This window comes from Homo sapiens, chromosome 1 (genome assembly GCF_000001405.40).
Source record: "Homo sapiens chromosome 1, GRCh38.p14 Primary Assembly".
Taxonomy (NCBI): Eukaryota; Metazoa; Chordata; class Mammalia; order Primates; family Hominidae; genus Homo; species Homo sapiens.
This window is the reverse complement of record NC_000001.11, coordinates 243,291,883-243,313,440: the sequence shown is the minus strand read 5'-3', so window position 1 is coordinate 243,313,440 and position 21,558 is coordinate 243,291,883. Positions and strand designations below refer to the sequence as shown.

Below are 21,558 nucleotides of genomic sequence, written 5' to 3'. Positions count from 1 at the left end.
GCAATCAGGGCCAAAAGGACTGAGAAAGTCCCTTAACAATCTCAGCCAAGTGTTTAAGCAAAAGAGTTGGTCTAATGTATATGCATGAGCTCCACCTTGAAATGTGGAGTGGCTAAGAAATGTCTTATAATTTCTAAATTACTCCAGTTATTATTAATTTTAAGCATTATTAGGTATCACTAATAAGTGTTACTACACCGTTTTTAAAAAGAAAGTCTAGAAGGCTGACTACAACATTTCTTTGTTCCTCATTTCTGGGAAGTTCCTGCTGTAGTCTTTTAAAGCCAGCTATGCAGAGCAGGCCAATGATCCACTCCAAAATCACAAGCTGGACTAAAGCCCCAGAAAAGTACCCTTGGAATCTTTTCTCTTTTTTGAAAAGTATAAACTTCTCCAAGGTACTGTGAGCTACAGAAAGGAATTTAAGCAGTTCCATCTTGGTTACCATGTGAAGGTACTTTGATCATTAAGCAAGAAAAAGAGGTTACTGTTACTCTTACCTCCCTTATGGCATAAAGAGGCCAAGTGAAAGGCGAAAGGTCGGAAACAATATGAAGACTTCAAATCAACATAAAAAATATATCCAATGTCATCAATAGTTGTTAAGTATATTCTCCAAAAAGTCCTTGAGTCCTAAGAAACCACCAGAAACATATGGGTGGCCTGGTCTCCAAGTCATGCCTGATCCCCTCCTTGTCAACTGTACAAGCCATTATTTTTTTTTTTTTTTTTTTGGAGACAGGTTCTTCCTCTGTTGCCCAGGCTGAAGTGCAGTGGCGCAATCTTGGCTCACTGCAACCTCCGCCTCCCAGGTTCAAGCAATTCTCCTGCCTCAGCCTCCCAGGTAACTGGGATTACAGGCGTGCACCAACACATCCAGCTATTTTTGTATTTTTAGTAGAGATGGGGTTTCACCATGATGGCCAGGCTGGTCTCAAACTCCTGATCTCAACTGATCCACCTGCCTCAGCCTCCCAAAGTGCTGGGATTACAGGTGTGAGCCACCATGCCTGGCCATCAAGCCATTCTTGTTTCATGAATATATATTCAAAATAGTAAATGCTAAAGGATGCAACAAAGGAGCTGAAAGCTGCTGTCACAATACCACATTTACAAGGAAACTTTTGATTTATCATATTTAAGGTATCATTTTTAAACATTCCATGTTAAAGTCATTCAGGTAATATGATAACAGCTTATGGAGGGGGCAGGCTTCTAACTATACATAAAACTAGAAATCCAAACCCAAAAGGTGCTGGACACTCTTCAAAGTTAGCATAGCACTCAATATTCAGCACTCTGCATTAGTTAAGTTAGGCCAAGAGAATGATACAGAAGAAGAATTCATTGACAATAAAAGCAGAATCCGCTCAGTGTTAATAGGTTTAATATCCTTTCTGTCATTAATGCAGAACATGAGACAATGATATGCTGACAAGGCAGAAAATTGAACTAAGTAGGTTGACATTTACTTTAAGAGGCTAAGAGCTCAAATTTAGGATAGAGACAAAGGAATACATAACTGATCAAGAATCTTAATTTCTGAATGACTGCCAGGCTTGGAAGTAACCAAAACATTATAGCTTCCTTTAAAAATATTTTTTCATAATCTAGAAGGATAATATAAAAGGCAACATAATAACTTGTTATTTCTTGGCTGAGTTTTTTTTTTTAATTTTTAAATTTTTTGTAGAGACAGGGTTTCCCTATGTTGCCCAGACTGGTCTCAAACACCTGGCCTCAAGTGATCCTCCTGCATCAGGCTCCCAAAGTGCTGGGATTACAGGCATGAGCCACTATGCCTGGCTTATTAGTTTTGCTAGACTACCTAGTTTTAAGCTCTGCCTCTTTTTATTTGCAACTTTTAATATGCTTTCCTCTTTCTAAAATTAATTTTTAAATTATATTCTCCTTGCAAAATTAGTTACCAATATTGTTAAAGGCCTATTTGACACCCTTTCAATTTCATTGCCTTCGTCCACCTCTCTAGTGGTTATCTCTGTTAAATATTTAGTGTTTACACTTTCAAATATTTTTCTGTGCATATCTATGAACCTCGAAGGGGAAAAATGTAGTATGGTTGTATATGGACTTAAAAAATACAAAAGGTTTCATACTAGATTTATCTTTAGCCATTTTGTTTTGTTTTCTTGCAACAATATATTTTGGAGATGGTCCAACATTAATACACATAGAACTACTTCCGTTTTTCATACTATGCACAAAATGACATAGTTTATCTAAACCATGTTTAGTTACTCTCCTTTGAACGATATTTAGGTTGTTCACATAATTATAAACAATGCTGCAAAAAGCATTCCCTATACATACCCCATTATGCATGTACTTGAGTTTTTTCTTGAGGGTAGATTTTGAAAAGTGAAGTGCACAATTTGAATATGAATGGACAGGACTAATTTACTTCCAAAGTATTTCCACCAATTTATGAACCCACCAGCAGAGTGAAAATACTTGTGTACTCATGACCTCACCAACTCTTGAAATTATCAATCTTGTTCTATTTTGTCAGTCTGACGGGTTGTTCTTTAATTTTTTTATTGTATTTCCTCAAATACTAATAGAATAAATACATTTTCATATGCTGACATCTTCCTCTTTTATTGCTCACTGATTTCTATTCTTTACCTACTTTGCAACTAGGCAGCTTGTCCTTTTTGTTTGTTTCAAAGGAAATTTATTCTATTGGTCTTTTGTCATGTATAGTGCAAATATTTTTTCTCAGCCTTTTAACTGAATATGTAATGTTTTATTGTAAGGGAATTTATTTTTTAATAGAAACAAATGTATCTTTTTTTCCCTTATGACTTCCACTTTTCACGTCATCCTTAGGACTATAACCCACAATTATAAGATATTTTTTATATTTATTTCTAATGCTTTTATAGTCTGAATTGTATCTGAGCCTTTAAACTACCATGAATTTATTTTTGTAAGGTACAGCTCTGTTCTTGTTTTTCAAATATAAACAGGCAAATTTTTAACTTCTCTGAACCCCAATTTCCCTAGCTATAAAACGGGGGTAATAATATGTACCTCATGAACGCTTGAAGATTTTTAAAAATGATGTTCTTAAATCTCCTAGCACAGTCGTTGACATATAATAAATGTTTACTACATTTTTTAGTTGTATCTGAAAATAGTTAATACATGTTTAATAGTTATATTGAGACTATATGAATAAATTAACAACATATTGAATACTTAAAATACTTAACAAAAACAGAACCAAGCAGTATAGGTCATAAAAACTACCAGTCGGGCCGGGCGTGGTGGCTCACACTTGTAATTCCAGCACTTTGGGAGGCCAAGGCGGGTGGATCATGAGGTCAAGAGATCGAGACCATCCTAGCCAACATGGTGAAACCCCGTCTTTACTAAAAATACAAAAATTAGCCAAGCATGGTGGTGGGCGCCTATAGTCCCAGCTACTCGGGAGGCTGAGGCAGGAAAATCACTTGAACCCGAGAAGCAGAGGTTGCAGAGAGCCAAGATTGCGCCACTGCACTCCAGCCTGGCAACAGAGAGAGACTCCGTCTCAAAAAACAAAAACAAAACAAACAAACATAAAAAACTACCAGTCAGTCCACACTGGAAATTCTATGTTCATATAACAATTAGTAGGTTAGGTCAGGTGTGGTGGCTTATGTCTATAATCCCAATACTTTGGGAAGCTGAGGTGGGAGGATCACAGGAGTTCAAGAACAGCCTGGGCAACATAGTGAGACCCCATCTCTACCAAAAAAAATTTTTTTAATTAGCTGGGTGTGGCGGCACATGTCCGCAGTTACTCAGGAAGCTGAGGCAGGAGGATCGCTTGAGCACAGAAGTTCAAAGTTGCACTGAGCTATGATTGTGCCATTACATTCCAGCCTTGGCAAAGGAGTGAGACCCCAACTCGAAAACAACAGCAACTCACCCCCAACCTGAGTGAGTTAGCCATGTGTGGAAATCACAGCTAGAAGACATATTGATCATTCTTGGGAGTATAGAAGGTACAGAATGGTTTTAATATTTACTGAGCATTTACTATATGTCAGGAAGTGTTTTAAGTACTATATAGGTTTTCTCTAGTGACCCCTCAAGGTAACTCTATGAGTTAGGTACTTATGTCACCATTTTAAAAATGAGAAAATTGAGGCACAAAAAGGTTAAGTAACTTTTGCAAGGTTCCATGGTAAGTTGGCAGTAGAACCAGAATATGAACCCAAGCAGTCAGTTTCAAAAGCAGTACTTCTGGTCACAGGCTAACCTGCCTTAGTAAAATCCCAAAAAGGTCTTAAATCTGAAGAAGCAGGTATTTTCCTCCAAACAACAGAAGATGCCAGGCTCAGAGAAGAAAAGGAATTTGTTGAAGGTCAGGACATGGAGCAAAATCGGTCTGACCTTAATGACCACAGAAGAAAGGAACCTAAGTCAGTTGAGGACAAAATGGGGCAGAGCTGATGAGAGACTTCTTCTAAAAGGAAGTGATCTGGGGTTATTTAAGTGAGCACAGCAGATAGAGAGAGGTGACACTGAGCACAAAGAAAAGTAGGGGGCATGGAAGAACATACACTATAAACTGCCACTGGGTTCTATATTACATAATAATTCTCAATTTCCACAGAATAAAATTTTCACAGGAAAAGGCCTCCTCTGGAATAGTGAAAACAACAAAACAGATGTACGAAGAGAATTGTTTCACTCAGCTTAGACGAAAACTTGGACAACACAAAAGGTCATCTGTAACTTGTTCTCAGTTAACCCTCAAATATCAATAGTGGGATACAGTGGGTCCTTATAATACTCCTTACAACAGACACATGATGAAGATGTGGTAATAACTCATTCTACCTGAAGTACAGCAGAAAAATCCAAGATATGGCAAAACCAAAGGAATTTCTATTACACTCAGTTTTGCTAAGAATAGTATTAGATTTGTAATCATAGATTCATAGAACTGGACAGAATCGTAAAGAACTGTCTAGTTCAATTCTCTCACTTGAAGATGGACTGAAACCAAGAGATACTATTATCTGTTCAAAGTGGCATGGTTTCTGTTCAAAGTGACATGGTGACATGGCAGAACCCACCCATTTGTCTTCAAGGAAGCTATAATGAAGGAACCTTTTAAAATCCACTGTATTTGAAGATTAACAATAATCACATGTGACTTAGCATAGGGCTAGAAGAACACAATGCCCCTTTAAAGGCAGAATTTTCCATATTGCCAAAGTCTCCGTGCGCGTAGAAGCATACTTACTTAACCAGTCTTTCGATGGTCTGCATATGAACATTAGTATGGGTTTGGGAAAGAACAGCTTCATGCTGAGCACATTTCAAACAAAGACCACCAACACGGTTACAAGTATTAGCAGCCAGAAGAAATTCTTTATGCTTTAGTTGCTCTTTAAGATCTTCACAAGTTCTCTGATATTCAGCTAAGTCGTTCCTAAAAAGAGGGTGAAAAAATTCTAGAAAATGGCCAGGTAAAATTACATGACTTTAAAATGAATCATCATAATGTTAACTACTACTATCGTTTATGGGTACTCACCTTATGCTTTAGTTTACGTCCAATACCTTATTAATTTTTACCACGACCCTGAAACTTTGGTGTGGTGATTCTAATTGACACGTTGAATATGATGAGACTGGAATAAATTACATAATTAGCTTAGGTTCTTGTAAGATTTTAATATAGATTAGAATCCGCCTGACACTGGCTCTCTTGTCCCAGGATCCAACCTCCATTAATGTTATATTAACCACAAAACAAAAATAAAACTCCAAATATAAATCCCAAATCATTTTCCTTAAAAAAGGGGTGGGGTAATATAAGACAACATACTTGAGGTGAGGAAAATACCCTATTTCAAGCATTAATCTCTTAAAATTTTTAGAGTGTCTTAAAAGTTCACATAAAAAAACATGGATTTTTATCCTTGACTAGTTTATTACTGCCCATTTTTCTTCAGGAGGAAAACATTACTGTTAGATAGATAATTATCTAACGACAAACTTCTACAAAGATCTGTTTCAAAAGAAAGTAAGTTACAGAAGGAAGTTACATAGAACTTGCCAGTCATAAGATTTCAGGGGTAGTAGCTATTAGCTGGAAACATACAGGCTGCTAAAGAAAGGGCTGGGGAATGGTGGGGGTGGGGGTGGTGTGGGTGTGGGTGTAGTTTTTGTTTGTTTTTACTTTATCAGCTCACCTCTGGATGAGGTTTTTCTCCAAGGTGACTTTTTAAGGATTAATTGACTAGTACATGGGTTGTATTTTCCTACCTTATCCCAGTAAAGCTGCGCTAAAGTCACCTTGGCAACTGAGCTTCCTTGCCTAGATGGTTCTTTTGTACTTCAAAAAAAAAAAAAACAAAAAAAAACTTTCTAGCTGAAAAATGAGACTACTGAAGGCAGGAACTTTATCTCCATCTCTGTCTACTCTCTGTTGTCATTGTCAAAGTCTCCACGCTCAGGTGCTGTGGCCATCTTAACTGGCTCACTGTCACAGAGGAGAAGCCAACAGCCTGGCTGTCAGACAACTGTTGAGATTTTGGGGGCTTTCAAGCAACGCAGGAGAGGCATAAAAGACCCACAGGCAATCTAAGGGTTAAAAAAAAACTTTGGAATGGCATTCCAAAGTTGAGGGGAAGAAAAATGAGCTGCGTCTACCCTATCCCCAAAATAATAACACCAAGATGATAAGTTTTCTTTTTCAATATCATGTAGGGAATGTCTGACTTTCAAAGGCTTTATAAAAAGAACTTGGGAAGCACATTCCAAAGTCAAAGGGTCCCCATTACTAATTTTGGTCAGCTCCAAACTCAAAACACTCAAGTAGATTTGGTTACTAGAAATGGCAAAAGAGAAAGTTAAAAAGAAAGTTGAAAAGAAGACTGATTTTATTTATTTATGAAAATGCCTCTTTAAATAATCTTAAATTATAGTAAAAGAAAATGAAGAAACAGAAGGATTCAGAGAACAAAGTCTAATTCATTACAAGTTGGTATTTTAATGTAATTAAAGATGAAATATCTGGATTCTGAATGAGACAAAATAAGTCACATTCCCTTAAGTACAATGATCTAGAAATACATCACTTTAAAAACTAAAGAATCAAGTCGTAAATAAAATCAAAATAAAATAAAATAGGACAAAAAACAAGAAAGCAAAAATTAGAGTATTTTTTAAATGTTAACATTTCTTTGTAAAAAAGTAAAAATCTCTAAGAGAAATCCTAAAACTAATCAGGGTAATCTATGAAAAACATAAGAACATTTAAAAAATAAACAACCATGTACAGTGAAAGCTATGAGTTCCAGCTCGGTTTTTTTTTTTTTTTTTTTTTTTAGATGGAGTCTCCCTCTGTCACCCAGGCTGGAGTGCAGTGGCATGATCTTGGCTCACTGCAACCTCTATCTCCTGGGTTCAAGTGATTCTGCCTCAGCCTCCTGAGTAGCTGGGACTACAGATGTGTGCCACCACACCCAGCTAATTTTTATATTTTTAGTAGAGACAGGGTTTTACCATATTGGCCAGGCTAGTCTCGAACTCTTGACCTCAAATGATCCACCCGCCTTGGCTTCCCAAAGTGTTGGGATTACATGCGTAAGCCACCACAATCAGCTGAGTTCTGGCTCTTAGTATTACTCTAGTTATGTCTCTAGATAGGCTATGGCCTGGAAGATTTTAAAATTTCAAATTGGACTTATTAAAATAAAATTATAAACAATATTTCAAAGTTTATTTGATTTAAAATTACTTCATTACTACTATTTAAAAATAATCTTTAACAACAAAAATATTAATTCCTGCTGTCTTTTTCTACTCATTATACATAAATCACTAATGGTTAATCTATAATATATAGGTCTTACTGGGATCTCTAATAAATAGATTCTATAAAAAGTACATGAATATTCATCATATATACTCAAATTCATCATGTATACAAATACTCAAACTATTATATTATCATTGCAATTTTAAAATTAGATGAAGACTATCTACAGAGAAAAAATACTAATAATTTGAAAACTAAAGTGCTTTATTTTCATTATTTTACTTGAATATCATAATTTCTATAAGAGCAGTTAGTGATTCTTATTTCTTTTTTTTTTTTTTCTTTTTTGAAATGGAGTCTCACTCTGTTGCCAGGTTGGAGTGCAGTGGCGTGGTCTCAGCTTACTGCAACCTCCGCCTCCCAGGTTCAAGTGATTCTCCTGCCTCAGCCTCCCAAGTAGCTGGGACTACAGGCACGTGCTACCAGGCCCAGCTAATTTTTGTATTTTTAGTAGAAACGGGGTTTCACCATGTTGGCCAGGATGGTCTCAATCTCTTGACCTCGTGATTCGCCCGCTTCAGCCTCCCAAAGTGCTGGGATTACAGGCGTGAGCCACCGCGCCCGGCCGTGATTCTTATTTCTACAAGAAAACACAAATATTTTACAACTGATGAAGAAATGGGAACGTGATTTGGAAAAGAACTCAATTTTAGGCCTTTCATCCTTTAATAATCTGAGGAAATTTTTTAAAGTGTATTAAAATGTCATCAAGTAAGTCTGATAATGACTAAAACTAGAAGTTCAGCAAACATTCAAATATATTTTAAGATCATTATGCTTTTGGTATGACTATAAATGGACGATTTCACTTTACCTCAAAAACTTCAATTGGGATTCCTCAATTTCACACTTTTCCTCATAAGTAAGTTTTAGCTTCTCCTATAGAAAAGAAAAATAGAAGTACATTTTTCTCTATGTCCTGTATTTTATAAGTAAACTTTAATTTTTAATATTAAACTCAATTTTTTTCTTTTTACCCAACGTGGGGGAAACATGTCTTCTTAGAAAATATTTTCCCTAGTCCACTTGAATTTTTCTATTTTTATTGTGTGAATGCCTGCAAAGAACCGCTGAGTCATAAAATTGATTTTCTTTGTCTTTCAAAATTGCATATATCAGGTCTTATCCCTAAAAGTGTGACTCTGGGGAAAAACAGTTATAACCCATAAGGTCCATGAGGGCAAAGATCAAATCTTATTAGAATCCTTCATTGTGGCTGTTGAATATTTGACATATAATAAATATGTGCTAGATGAATGATCAAAAGTAAAGTTTTATATCACATGATGATAGACTAACTCCTACAAGCCTCTGTTGGTATCCAGTTATTCTTTCATTCAACAAATATTTATTGTGTATCTAAGATGAAGGTGGCTTGAACTGCAAGGAACTTACGAAATATCCCAGAAAGGAATAGAAAAATGAAGAATTTCAATTACAGTTGACCCTTAAATAACATGGAGGTTAGGGTCATTGACCCCTGTACAGTTGGAAATCCATGTATAACTTTTTTTTTTTTGAGACAGAGTCTCACTCTATCACCAAGGCTGGAGTGCAGTGGCGCAATCTCAGCTCACTGCAACCTCCACATGCTGGATTCAAGCTATTCTTGTGCCTCAGCCACCCAAGTAGCTGGGATTACAGGCATGTGCCACCACGCCCGGCTAATTTTTGTATTTTTAGTAGAGATGGGGTTTCATCATGTTGGCTAGGCTGGTCTCGAACCCCTGGACTCAAGTGATCTGCCCGCCTCAGCTTCCCAAAGTGCTGGGGTTACAGGTGTGAGCCACTGCGCCTGGCCCCATGTATAACTTTTGACTCCCCCAAAACTTAATTACTAATAGCCTACTATTGACTAGAAGACTTAACAATAATATAAACAATTAACACATATTTTGTATGCTATATGTATTACATACTATATTATTACAAGAAAGCAATCTAGAGAAAAGATAATGTTATTAGGAAAATCATAAGGAAAAGAAAATAGTATTTTCTACTCATTAAATGGAAGCGGGTCCTCATAAAGGCCTTCACCCTACCATCTTCACATTGAGTAGGCTGAGTTGGAGGAGGAAAAGGAGGGGTTGGTCTTGTCTTCTCAGGGATGGCAGAGGCAGAAGAGATGCAGGAGTTAGGAGGGAAGGCAGGAGAGGCAGGCAAACTTAGTTAACTTTATGGAAACACGTGGTAATTTCTGTCTCACTTTGTTATGCTCTTTAATTTCTCCAAAAATGTTTCTATATGATATCTATCCTTCTTCCATTTGCTTTAGTTTCAGTGCCTATATTATAGAAGGGTCCACGTCATAAAAGAAGTCAAAAGCAGTCTTGAATAATCAGAACCCTTCTGCCAGATTATCTCATGTCAATTTGTTTCCTGGCACTGATTCTTCTATGTCTTCTTCCTCATTTTCTGGCACTGGTTCAGGAGCACTCATCTCCATCAACTCATCTTCTGTTAAGTCCTTTGTGTGGTGTCTATTAGCTCTCGAATTTCTCCAAGATCTCTATCTTGAAACCCTTCACTCCCAACCTTTTCCACCACATCCACAATCTCTTTCATGATTTCCTTGATTGACTGTTGTAAATCTTATAAAGTCATGCACCACATTTGGACAAAGTTTTCTCCAGCAGGAATTCATTGTTATGGGTTTGATGACTTTCATGGCTTTTTCTACAACAATAATGGCATTTTCAATGCTGTAATCCTCTCACACTTTCATGATGTTCTTGCTACTGGGGTTCTCTTCCATTGTGTTGAAAATGCTTTCCATAGAGTACCCATATGTAATAAGCCTTAAAGGTCCTTATGACTGCCTAGATCTTGAGGCTGAATTAGAGACATTGTGTTTGCAGGCAAGGAGACCACTTTGATGCCTTTAGTGTTGAACTCATGGGGTTCTGCGTGGCCAGAGCCATTGTACAATATCAAAAAACTTTAAAAGGCAGTCTCTTACTGGCAAGGTACTTCCTAACTTCAGGGACAAAGTATCAATGAAATCAGTGTAGAAAAAGGTTTCTCATTGTCCAGGCCTTCTTGTGGCACAACCAAAAGACTAGCAGTTGGTGTTTATCTTTTCCCTTCAAGTCTCGTGAGTTAGGAGCTTTATAGATAAGGGCAGTCCTGATCATAAACCTGAGTACATTTGCACGAAACAGTAGAGTTAGCCTATCCCTTCCGGCATCAAATCCTGGTGCTCACTTCTCTTCCTTACTAATAAATGTCCTTTGTGACATTTTTTCCCCCAGAGTAGAGCACTTACATCTGCATTAAAAACCTATTCAGGCAGATATCATTTCTCCTAAATAATTTTCGTCCTTTTTTTTGTTTTGTTTTGTTTTGAGACAGATTCTCACTCTGTCACCCAAGCTCGAATGCACTGGTGCAATCTTGGCTCACTGCAACCTCCACCTCCTGGGTTCAAGTGATTCTCATGCCTCAGCCTCCCGAGTAGCTGGGATTACAGGCACGTGACATCATGCCCAGCTAATTTTTGTATTTTTAGTAGGGACAGGGTTTCTCCATGTTGGCCAAGCTGGTCTTGAACTCCTGACCTCAGGTGATCCGCCCACCTCAGCCTCCCAAAGTGCTGGAATTACAAGTGTGAGCCACCACACCCAGCCTCTCCTAAATAATTTTCATAATTGCATCTTGGAACTTGTCTGCTGCCTCTTGGTCAACAGAAGCTGCTTCTCTTGTTATCTTGACATTGTTAAGACCAAATCTCTTCCTAAAATTATCAAACCATCCTTTGCTGGCATTAAAATCTCCAGCTTTATATCCTTTACTTTCCTTTTGTTTTAAGTTGTCATAAAATGACTTTTTTTTTCCTCAAATTATATTAGAGTCTACAGGTATGCTTTTCTTATAGAAATCCTGTACCCATATAAAATCTGCATTTTCCATGACAGATAAAAAGGCATTGTGCAAAAGTACAAAGTTTTTGTGCGTGTTGGCACGGCTGCAGTGATGGCTCTACAAATTTCCTTTTCTTTTTGTACAATGGTCCTTATATTGGATTAATTTATCTTGAAATGGGGCAACAGACTTGAAATGGGGATGCAGACTTCAATCTATGGAACATATCAAGCAATGTAACTTTTTCCTGTAATGTCATGAATTTGCTTCATGGGAGCACTTCCAGCATCACTAGTGGCACTTTGCATGGGCCTCATGGTGTTATTCAAGGTTTACAGTATTGCACCAAACATGATGAAAAGTACACGAGAACCACCAAGAGATCACTTTTTACTGTGATATGCAATTTACTGGAAAGACAAACTGTTTATGCAGAGATTAACTGGTGTCACATGATGTTTTAAGCAGACACTCAAAACACTTGAACTCACCACAATAGCAATAGGAGGTGGTTATGAAATTCTTATAGTAGTACAGTATGTACTACATTTTACTTTATGCTGTTATAATTTAATACTGCATCTTTATGTTTTTTTGCATTCCTCCTGAGAATGACTCCGTGTACAGTCTGTGATAGTGTACATAAGTTTTGAAAAATTTTAACTTTTTATAACAGATTTGTGTATATTTTATGGTAGTAGATGATAAAATAGACTATTACCTACATATATTTTATTCATTTATGACATACCTCTTTCTTAATTTTTTCATATTTCTAAGCTACATGGTTCATCTGCAAGTTTTTTTAAATTGCCACAAATCTCAAAAAAAATTCTGGTACATTTCTTCAGAAAAATACACATATAAGTGAACCCACACAATACAAACCTATCTTATTCAAGGGCCAACTGTTCATAAATTGCTCTAGTGAAGTATATGGAAACTGAAAAATTTAGAGAGGCAGGAACTCCTAATTCAGCCAAAGATAAGTAAAGAAGGCCTCACAGAGGAAATGTTAAGATTTGAAGGATAATTTCCAGTAGAGCAGAAGGCACAGAGGTTGTCCAAACCATGTTTGGAAAGTAAGTAGATCAGTATCACAGGAATGTAAAATGTGAGGTGGAGAGGTGATTGGAGATGGGCAAAATAGGTAAAGGTGGGCCACAAGAAGAATAAAAATATCAAGACTTTTATTTGGTACACATGTCTCCTGCACTTTCCCTCTAGAAGAAACACTGGAGGGCCACTGAAAGCTTTTTATCAGAATTGAGTCTTAAATCATAATTGAAGTGTGAAGAAAGGGAAACCAGTAATTACAAATACATAGGTAAGAGATAAGCACATGAACAAAAGCAATCAAGCAGTAGGAACTAAAAAGAAAGGATTTAGTATAGAAATATTTAAGAGAAAAACTGAGAATTTTATGACAGAATAGATATAGGGGAGAAAAATACACTAAAAATAATCCTGGGTTTCTGAAGTGAGCAATCAAGTGAATACTGGTACTAAAGATTTTTTTCAGACCAACAAAAAAAAGCAAAAGGGAATCATAAAAATAATTAATTCATGGCCAGGCACAGTGGCTCACGCCTGTAATCCCAGCACTTTGGCAGGCCAAGGCGGGCGGATCACGAGGTCAGGAGTTCAAGACCAGCCTGGCAAACATAGTGAAACCCCGTCTCTACTACAAAAACAAAAATTAGCTGGGTGTGGTGGCATGCGCCTATATTACCAGCTACTCAGGAGGCTAAGATAGGAGAATTGCTTGAACCTGGGAGGCGGAGGTTGTAGTGAGTCAAGACCATTCCATTGCACTCCAGCCTGGGCAACAGAGTGAGACTCCGTCTCAAAAAAAAAAAAAAATTAATTCAAAGAAGACAGAAAAAGAGGTAAAGGGGAACAAATAAGAGATAGGTAAAGAAGAAGCCAAATAGCAAGATGGTGTATTTAAACTGAGTTGTATAAATAATCACAATAAATGTCAGTGGTCTAGATACCCAAATTAAAAAGCAAATATGGCCAGGCACGGTGGCTCATGCCTGTAATCCCAGCACTGTGGGAGGCCGAGGCAGGCGGATCACCTGAGGTTAGGAATTCGAGACCAGCCTGACCAATATGATGAAACCCCGTCTCTACTAAAAATACAAAAATTAGTCGAGTGTGGTGGCATGTGCCTGTAATCCCAGCTAATTGGGAGGCTGAGACAGGAGAATAGCTGGAACCTGGGAGGCAGAGGTTGCAGTGAGCCAAGATCATGCCATTGCACTCCAGCCTGGGCAACAAAAGCGAAACCCTGCCTTTGTGTGGGGAGGGAGAAAAAAAAGCAAATATTGTCAGATTGGATAAAAAAGCAAAACCCAACTATATGCTTTCTATAAAAACCCACTTCAAAAAAGATACAAATAGGTTAAAAGTTAAAAGTAAAAGGAGGGAAAAGATATACCATGCTAACACTAATCAAAAGAAAGTGACATTGAATCAAAATACAAAACTCATGTGTTTTTCTCTACACTAGCAATTAGGAGTTAGAAAATAAAAATTTGGAAGATATGTGTCATTTATGATAGCATAAAAAATAAAAAGTCAGGAATAATTCTAATGAAAGATGTATGAAACCTTCACTCAGAAGACTATGAAAGGTTATTGACAAAAATTAAAGATGACTCAAATAAGTGGACTGATATGCAGTTTACAAGGATTAGATAATATCATAAAATGTTGATTCTCAAATGACCTATAATTTATAATTTAAAGCCATCTCAATCAAAATCCCAAATGACTTTTGGAACTTCACAATTCTGAACTGTATTTGGAAATGCTAAAGGCCAAAGGATAAAGAACAATGTTGGAAGACTTGGTCTGCCAGATTTCAGGCTATAACAATCAAGACAGTATAGTATTAGCACAATTAACTAAAACACAGTCCAGTAATAGACCCAAATATATATGGACAACTTATTTAGGAGAAAGGTACTATCATAAAGGCAAAGGACTACCTTTCCAAGAAATGGTGCTTGGATGTATAAACACATAGGAAAAGAACAAACTATGACCCCATATACAAAAATAAATTCCAGGTAGGTTGTAGATCTAAATGCAAAAAGTAAAACCATAGGCCAGGCATGGTAGCTTGCATCTGTAATCCCAGCATTTTGGGAGGCCGAGGCAGGTGGATCACTTGAGGTCAGGAGTTCAAGACCAGCCTGGCCAACGTGGTGAAACCCCGTCTCTACTAAAAATACAAAGTTAGCTGGCCGTGGTGGGAGAATCGCTTGAACCCGGGAGGCGGAGGCTGCAGTGAGCTGAGATTGTGCCATTGCACTCTAGCCTGGGCAAAAAAAGCGAAACTCTGTCTCAAAAAAAAAAAAAAAAAAAAAAAAGGCAGGGTGCGGTGGCTCATGCCTGTAATCCCGGCACTTTGGGAGGCCAAAGCGGGCGGATTGCCTGAGGTCAGGAGTTCGAGACTAGTCTGGCCGACATGGTGAAACTCCGTCTCTACTAAAAATACAAAAAAATTAGCTGGGCATGGTGGCATGCGCCCGTAATCCCAGCTACTTGGGAGGTTGAGACTGAGGAATTGCCTGAACCAGGGAGGTGGAGGTTGCAGTGAGCTGAGATCGCACCACTGCACTCCAGCCTGGGTGACAGAGTGAGACTCCGTCTTAAAAAAAAAAAAAAAAAAGTGAAACTATAATTTCTAGAAGACTATGTAGAAGAATTAGCTTCATGATTGTAGTTGGAAAAAAACTTTTTTAAAAGGACATAAAAAACAACTACATAATTAAGGAAAACAAACTGAAGTTCTAGCCATCAAAGCAAGCAAGCAAACTATCAAGAGAGTTACAAGCGAAGCCACAGAGTGGGAATATATATTTATAATATGTATACTGACAAAGGGCTTGCATTCAGAATATATAAAGAACTCCCCAAATAAATATGTCAGATACATACCTTAATAAAAATAATAAGAAGGATATCTGAATAGGCGGCTCACAGAAGAGGCATCAAATGGACAATAAATGTATGAAACAATACTCAATCACACTAGTAGTTAGGGAAATGCAAATGAAAATCACAAGATAGCACTATAAGTTCACCAGAAAAATTGACAATACTATATGATTAGTAAGGATATGGAGCAAAGGTATCACTCATGTACTACTGGTAGGAGTGTAAACTGATAAAACCCCTTGTATGGGTAGGAGTGTAAACTGATAAAACCCCTTGGAAGGTTGTCATTACCTACTCAAGTTGAACACAGACATATCCTGAGAGCAAGAATTCCACTCCAACATACATATGCAACGTAAATTTGTGTCATACACACCAACAGATGAAAGAATGTTCATAGCAGCACTGCTCACAATAGCTGCAAACTGGAAACAACACAAACGTTCCTTGACAGCAGATGGATAAAGTCATATGTTCATATAGCAGACCCACCAAAGAAAATGAACAAACTTCGGCCAATGTAACAACATGGATGAATCTAACAAATATAATGGTGGACAACAGAAACCAGATACAAAGAATACATACTATACAATTCCACTTATATAACATTGAAAAAACAGAACTCAAAAGTGTTTAATGATGCATACTTGAGTATTTTCAGAAAATTCAGGATCATGATTAGCTTTAATGGCATGAAGGGGCAGTAACTAGGAGGAAGCATAAAGTGGTGATAATCACATAGGTGTTCATTTACAGATAAATCTTTGAGCTGTAAATTTTTGTTTTGTGTACTTTACTGAATGTTATGTTAAATTGTGTCTTAGAAAATATAAAGGAGGAGGGTATAATCAACCAATGTACATGTTATACAAAGCTGCTACTAGGTTTAGAGCAATGAGGACTGATGGCTGGAAGTCATTAATGACCTTAAAAAGAGCAGTTGGGGCCGGGCGCGGTGGCTCACGCCTGTAATCCCAGCACTTTGGGAGGCCGAGGCGGGCGGATCACGAGGTCAGGAGATCGAGACCACGGTGAAACCCCGTCTCTACTAAAAATACAAAAAAAAATTAGCCGGGCGCAGTGGCGGGCGCCTGTAGTCCCAGCTACTCGGGAGGCTGAGGCAGGAGAATGGCGTGAACCCGGAAGGCGGAGCTTGCAGTGAGCGGAGATCGCGCCACAGCACTCCCGCCTGGGCGACAGAACGAGACTCCGTCTCAAAAAAAAAAAAAAAAAAAAAAAAAGAGCAGTTGGGGTGGACTACAGGGGGACGAAGCTCAACTGAAGCATACTGAAGCAAGAATAGGAGGTAAAGAAGTGGAGACATAAATATAGACAACTGCTTGGAAAAAGTTTGGTATGAAAAGGAGAATGTAGATGTAGGGTGATAGTTGGAAGTGAATGTAGGGTCAGGAGAATATATTTTGGGTTTGTTTGCTTTATGGGAGCTATTAAAGAATATATTCTGCTAAGAATAAACTATTGGCCGGGTGCAGTGGTTCACACATGTAATCCCAGCAGTTTGGGAGGCTGAAGATGGTGGATCACTTGAGGCCAGGAGTTTGAGACTAGCTTGAGCAGCATGGCGAAACCCCATCTCTACCAAAAATACAAAAATTAACCAGGTGTGGTAGCACATGACTGTAGTCTCAGCTACTTGGGTGGCTGAGGCAGGCGAATTGCTTGAACCCAGGAGGTACAGGTTGCAGTGAGCTGAGATTGCGCCACTGCACTCCACCCTGGGTGACAGAGCTAGATCCCGTCTCAAAAAAATAAATAAAATAAAAAGAATAAACCATTGATAGGGAAAAGATACAAGAGAAAGAAAAGTCCCAGAATGAAACCCTTGGAAAAAGTGAAAAACACTTGTGAGGTAGAGCACACAAATGCAGAAATTGACCTTTTTCATAAACAAGGAAAAAAGATGAGTCTCCAATAGTCATAAACACAGTGCTAGGGGGAGGCATAAAAGAGAAAGGAATTCTAATGCAGAAAAGGGAAGAGAGAAAACATGCTATTCGGGAAAGCAGAATGAGAGGGCGCATTTCAACTATACCCTGAAGACTGGAAACATTTCAATAGGTAGAGGGTAAGAAGGGAACATTTTGGGGAGGGAGGACTGCATAAACCAAAGCCAGTTCTTCAAAGAGAAATGAAAGTGGATTATAAATTTATGAAGCAGCAACTGGTGAGTGGTCTGCATGCCTACAGATAAGATTTGTAAGAGTGACGGGAGAAGAGTGAGGCCGAGTACAGTGGCTCATGCCTGTAATCCCAGCACTTTGGGAGGCCGAGGCGGGTGGATTACGAGGTCAGGAGTTTGAGACCAGCCTGGCCAACATAGTGAAACCCCGTCTCTACTAAAAATACAAAAATCAGCCGGGCATGGTGGCGCACACCTGTAGTCCCAGCTACTTGGGGTGCTGAGGCAGGAGAATCGCTTGCACCCGGGAGGCTGAGGTTGTGGTGAGCTGAGATGGCACCACTGCACTCCTGCCTGGGCGACAGAGCAAGACTCTGTCTCAAAAAGAAACAAGAAACAAAAAACAAAAGACAGGAGAAGAGTGTGAAACTAGTTCGAACATTAGTTTGACGCAAATTGTGGATGACTTGAGACATTGGTCTTTATCCTATAGGTATTAAGTAGCTACTGTAAATTATTCAGAGAGGGAAAAAAAAGATACAATTTACTTAGTCTTTCCAATTTTCTTTTTTGAAGAAGGATACTCTTTCCCAAGTAGAATGAAGCTTGGATTAGGGACTAAGACAGGAGAGGGTGACTGGGCAGAAAGAATCTTTAGAAAACTATATCATCTGTGGATAATAATGAGAACCTGAACTATGATTCATTCTATCTTCCCCTGGAACATTCCATTTACAGTGTTAATCTCACTCTTTCATCATTGTTGATCAACTCTGACATGTCAAATTTAATGCAAAGAAGACTTCAGGTTAGCAAGAGAAGAATAAACGTCTGTTACATACATAAAAGGATTGAAAAGTATTATTTAGTCTTAAAATAGAATTGTTTTTGACGCTTTGGGAAATTAGGACGTTCAAAGGCAGCTGTGGGGGGGGGGGGGAATTTAGAAAGTCACAGTATGCCTAGGAAAGATACACACTCAGAAACATCCTGAGAAGACTGTAAGCTTTCACCTATGGCTGATCCCTAGGCTCAGAGCAAGCCTGGTTAAATGGGAAAAGAATGTCCCAGCACAGACCCAATCTGAAAAGACTGGGAGAGGTGGGTTGTTCTCTCTCTCTCTCTCTCTCGCTCTTTCTCTCTCTCTCTCTCTCCCCCCCCCCACCTTTTGGGGGGAGTGGAGGGTGTTTGTTTTCAGCTCCTGGAATTCAAGGAAATCTCTGTCAAACATTAGCTGAACATGAGCTAATAGAACAAAGACTTCAATAATCACACGATATGGAATAGTCTTCACAAAAATAGTATGGAAATGTCTCAAAACAAAAGGAGTATTACAGCCTTCAAAAGTAAAATAAGACAGCAAATTCTAGAAAAGAAGGAGTTAAAGATTTCCAGAGTTATCACATTACAATAGGGAAATGCTCAATTTTCAACAACACAATAACAAGGAATACAAGGAAACAGGAAAACATGCTCACTCAAAAGAACAGGATAAGCTGACAGAAACTACGCTCGAGAAACCACAGACATCAGACTTACTGGGGAAAGACTTTAAAATGACTGTGTTAAACACACTCAAAGAGCCAAGAGACAAACATGGACAAAGAACTAAAGAAAATCAGGAAAACACATTATAAAAAGGAACCAAACAGAAATTCTGGAGCTAAAAAGTATAATAACTGAAATAAAAAATTTATTAAAGGTATTCAAGAGCAGATTTGAGCAGGTAGAAAAACGAATTGATGAACTTTAAGAAACGACAATTAAAATGATCAAGTCTGAGGAGCAGAAAGAAAAAAGAATGAAGAATTACCATATGATCCAATAAGTCTATTTCTGGGTATATACTTAAAATAATTGAAACAGGGATTCAAACAGATTCTCATATGCCAATGTTCACAGCATAATTATTCATAACAGTCAAAAGATAGAAACAACCCCAATATCAGTCAATAGATGAATGGATAAAGTTTGGTAACATACATACAATGGAACATTATTCAGTCTTGAAATTTTGACACATGCTACAACAAAATGAACCTTGAAAATATTATGCTAAGGGAAATAAGCCAGACACAAAAGGACAAGTATTGTTTAATTCCACTTATGTCAAGTATCTGAAATAGGCAAATTTATACAGACCGAAAGTTGAAGAGAGGTCATCAGGGGTTGGCAGGGAGGGGAATGGAGATATTGTTTAATACGTCCAGACTTTTTGTTTGAGATGATCAAAAAGTTCTGAAAATGGATAATGTTTATGATTGAGTGACATGAATGTACTTAATGCAGATAAACTGTACGCTTAAAAATGGTTATAATGGTAAATTTTGTTATATATATTTTACCAGAATTTTAAAAAAGTACAAAAGAGAAAAAGAAAAAAAAGATGTATAAGAGAAAAGCACCCAAATACTCACCAGTTCTAGCTGCTCACCAGCAGATGCAGCTTTGCCAAAATCTGCATTGTCATGGGAAAATGGTCTTTTGGAGGTTTCGCCCACCCCAGAATCTTCACCTGTTGTAATCCAAGAATTGTGCATGTTTCCCTAAAATAAAATGTGCCAGTAACTGCAACTGAATTCAACTTTAAATAAACATGCATATTTTACAAATAAAATACCTATTCTTACCTATGATGAAAAGAAAAAGCATATGCTTCTACACTACAGGTCAAGAATCACTTCACATTTTCAGGCTATTAGGGTCATATTCTACAAGTGTTGCAAAGTAAAATTCCTTCAGGTACAGGCAGTAATCTAAATATGGGCAAAGAGGGCTAGATTTCAGCGCATTCAACAAATGGAATTATTCTTTACTCCTCTGAAGACATATACTCTTGAAGCACACACCTCTCTCTTAGTTTGTCTTTCATGTTCCATGTTTCATAAATGCATGGCTAATAATAATTTTTATCAAAATGCTGCTTTCTATGTTCCAGACCCTGTTTTATGTATGTCATATATATTAACTCATTTAATCATTACAGTTCTATGGGATAGATAGGTTTCATTGTTGCCTCCATTTTATACAGGAGGAAACTGAGTCACATAGAGTAGCTGAGGGTCACAGAGGTAGGAAGTGGCTAATAAGTGGCAGCACTAGAATCTGAAACCTGTCAATCTGAATCCAAATATATATGTGGTCTCTGTCCCTGGTTCCTGACACAGAATTCCTAAAACCCTGTAATTTCCTGAGTGACATGGGTGATAGGAGCATCTTTCGTTAAAATATTTGGTCTTAGTCCCGGGTTTCTGACACAAGTGCTTCTAAGACCCTTAGGATCTCCATGGTGATAAGAGTATCCTTTCGTATGCTAATAAGATGACTGGTGGCTGCAGTCCATGATTAGAAGACTAGAACTTACAGCCCCACTCCCCCACCTCAAGGGGGGAAAGGACTGGAGATTGACTTAATCGCCAACAGCCATTGATTTAACCAATCATGCCTATGTAATAAAACCTCCATAAAAATCCTATATGATGAAGTTCAGAGAATTTCTGGGTTGGCGAATGCATCCACATGCCAAGAGGGTGGTGTACCCAAACTCCACAGACAGAAGCTCTTCTACTTGGGACCAGCCTGGACCCTGCCCTACGTGCCTTTTCAGTTGGCTGTTCATTTATATCCTTTATATAATAATAAACCAGTAATAGCAAGCAAAGTGTTTCCCTGAATTTTGTGAGCCATTATAGCAAATTATCACACATTAGGAAGGGATTGTAGGAATCCCCAATTTACAGACAAATCAGACAGA

The 21,558-nt window shown here is 37.9% G+C and overlaps 1 protein-coding gene across 6 annotated transcripts in view; it reads right to left on the bottom strand.

Annotated features, from left to right (window-relative positions):
• SDCCAG8 (SHH signaling and ciliogenesis regulator SDCCAG8) overlaps positions 1-21,558 on the bottom strand; it is a 244,051-nt gene that overhangs the window by 186,651 nt on the left and 35,842 nt on the right. For 2 of the 6 annotated variants that reach the window (NM_001350249.2, NM_006642.5), the window contains exons 6-8: positions 20,222-20,350; positions 8,664-8,728; positions 5,264-5,452 (exon numbers count right to left, since the gene is read on the bottom strand). In NM_001350249.2, coding sequence (NP_001337178.1) covers positions 5,264-5,452; positions 8,664-8,728; positions 20,222-20,350 — 383 coding nt within the window. Of the gene's footprint in view, positions 1-5,263; positions 5,453-5,557; positions 5,655-8,152; positions 8,430-8,663; positions 8,729-19,946; positions 20,043-20,221; positions 20,351-21,558 lie in introns of all 6 variants that reach the window. The other 4 variants (NM_001350251.2, NM_001350246.2, NM_001350248.2 and 1 more) reach the window with 4 other exon arrangements.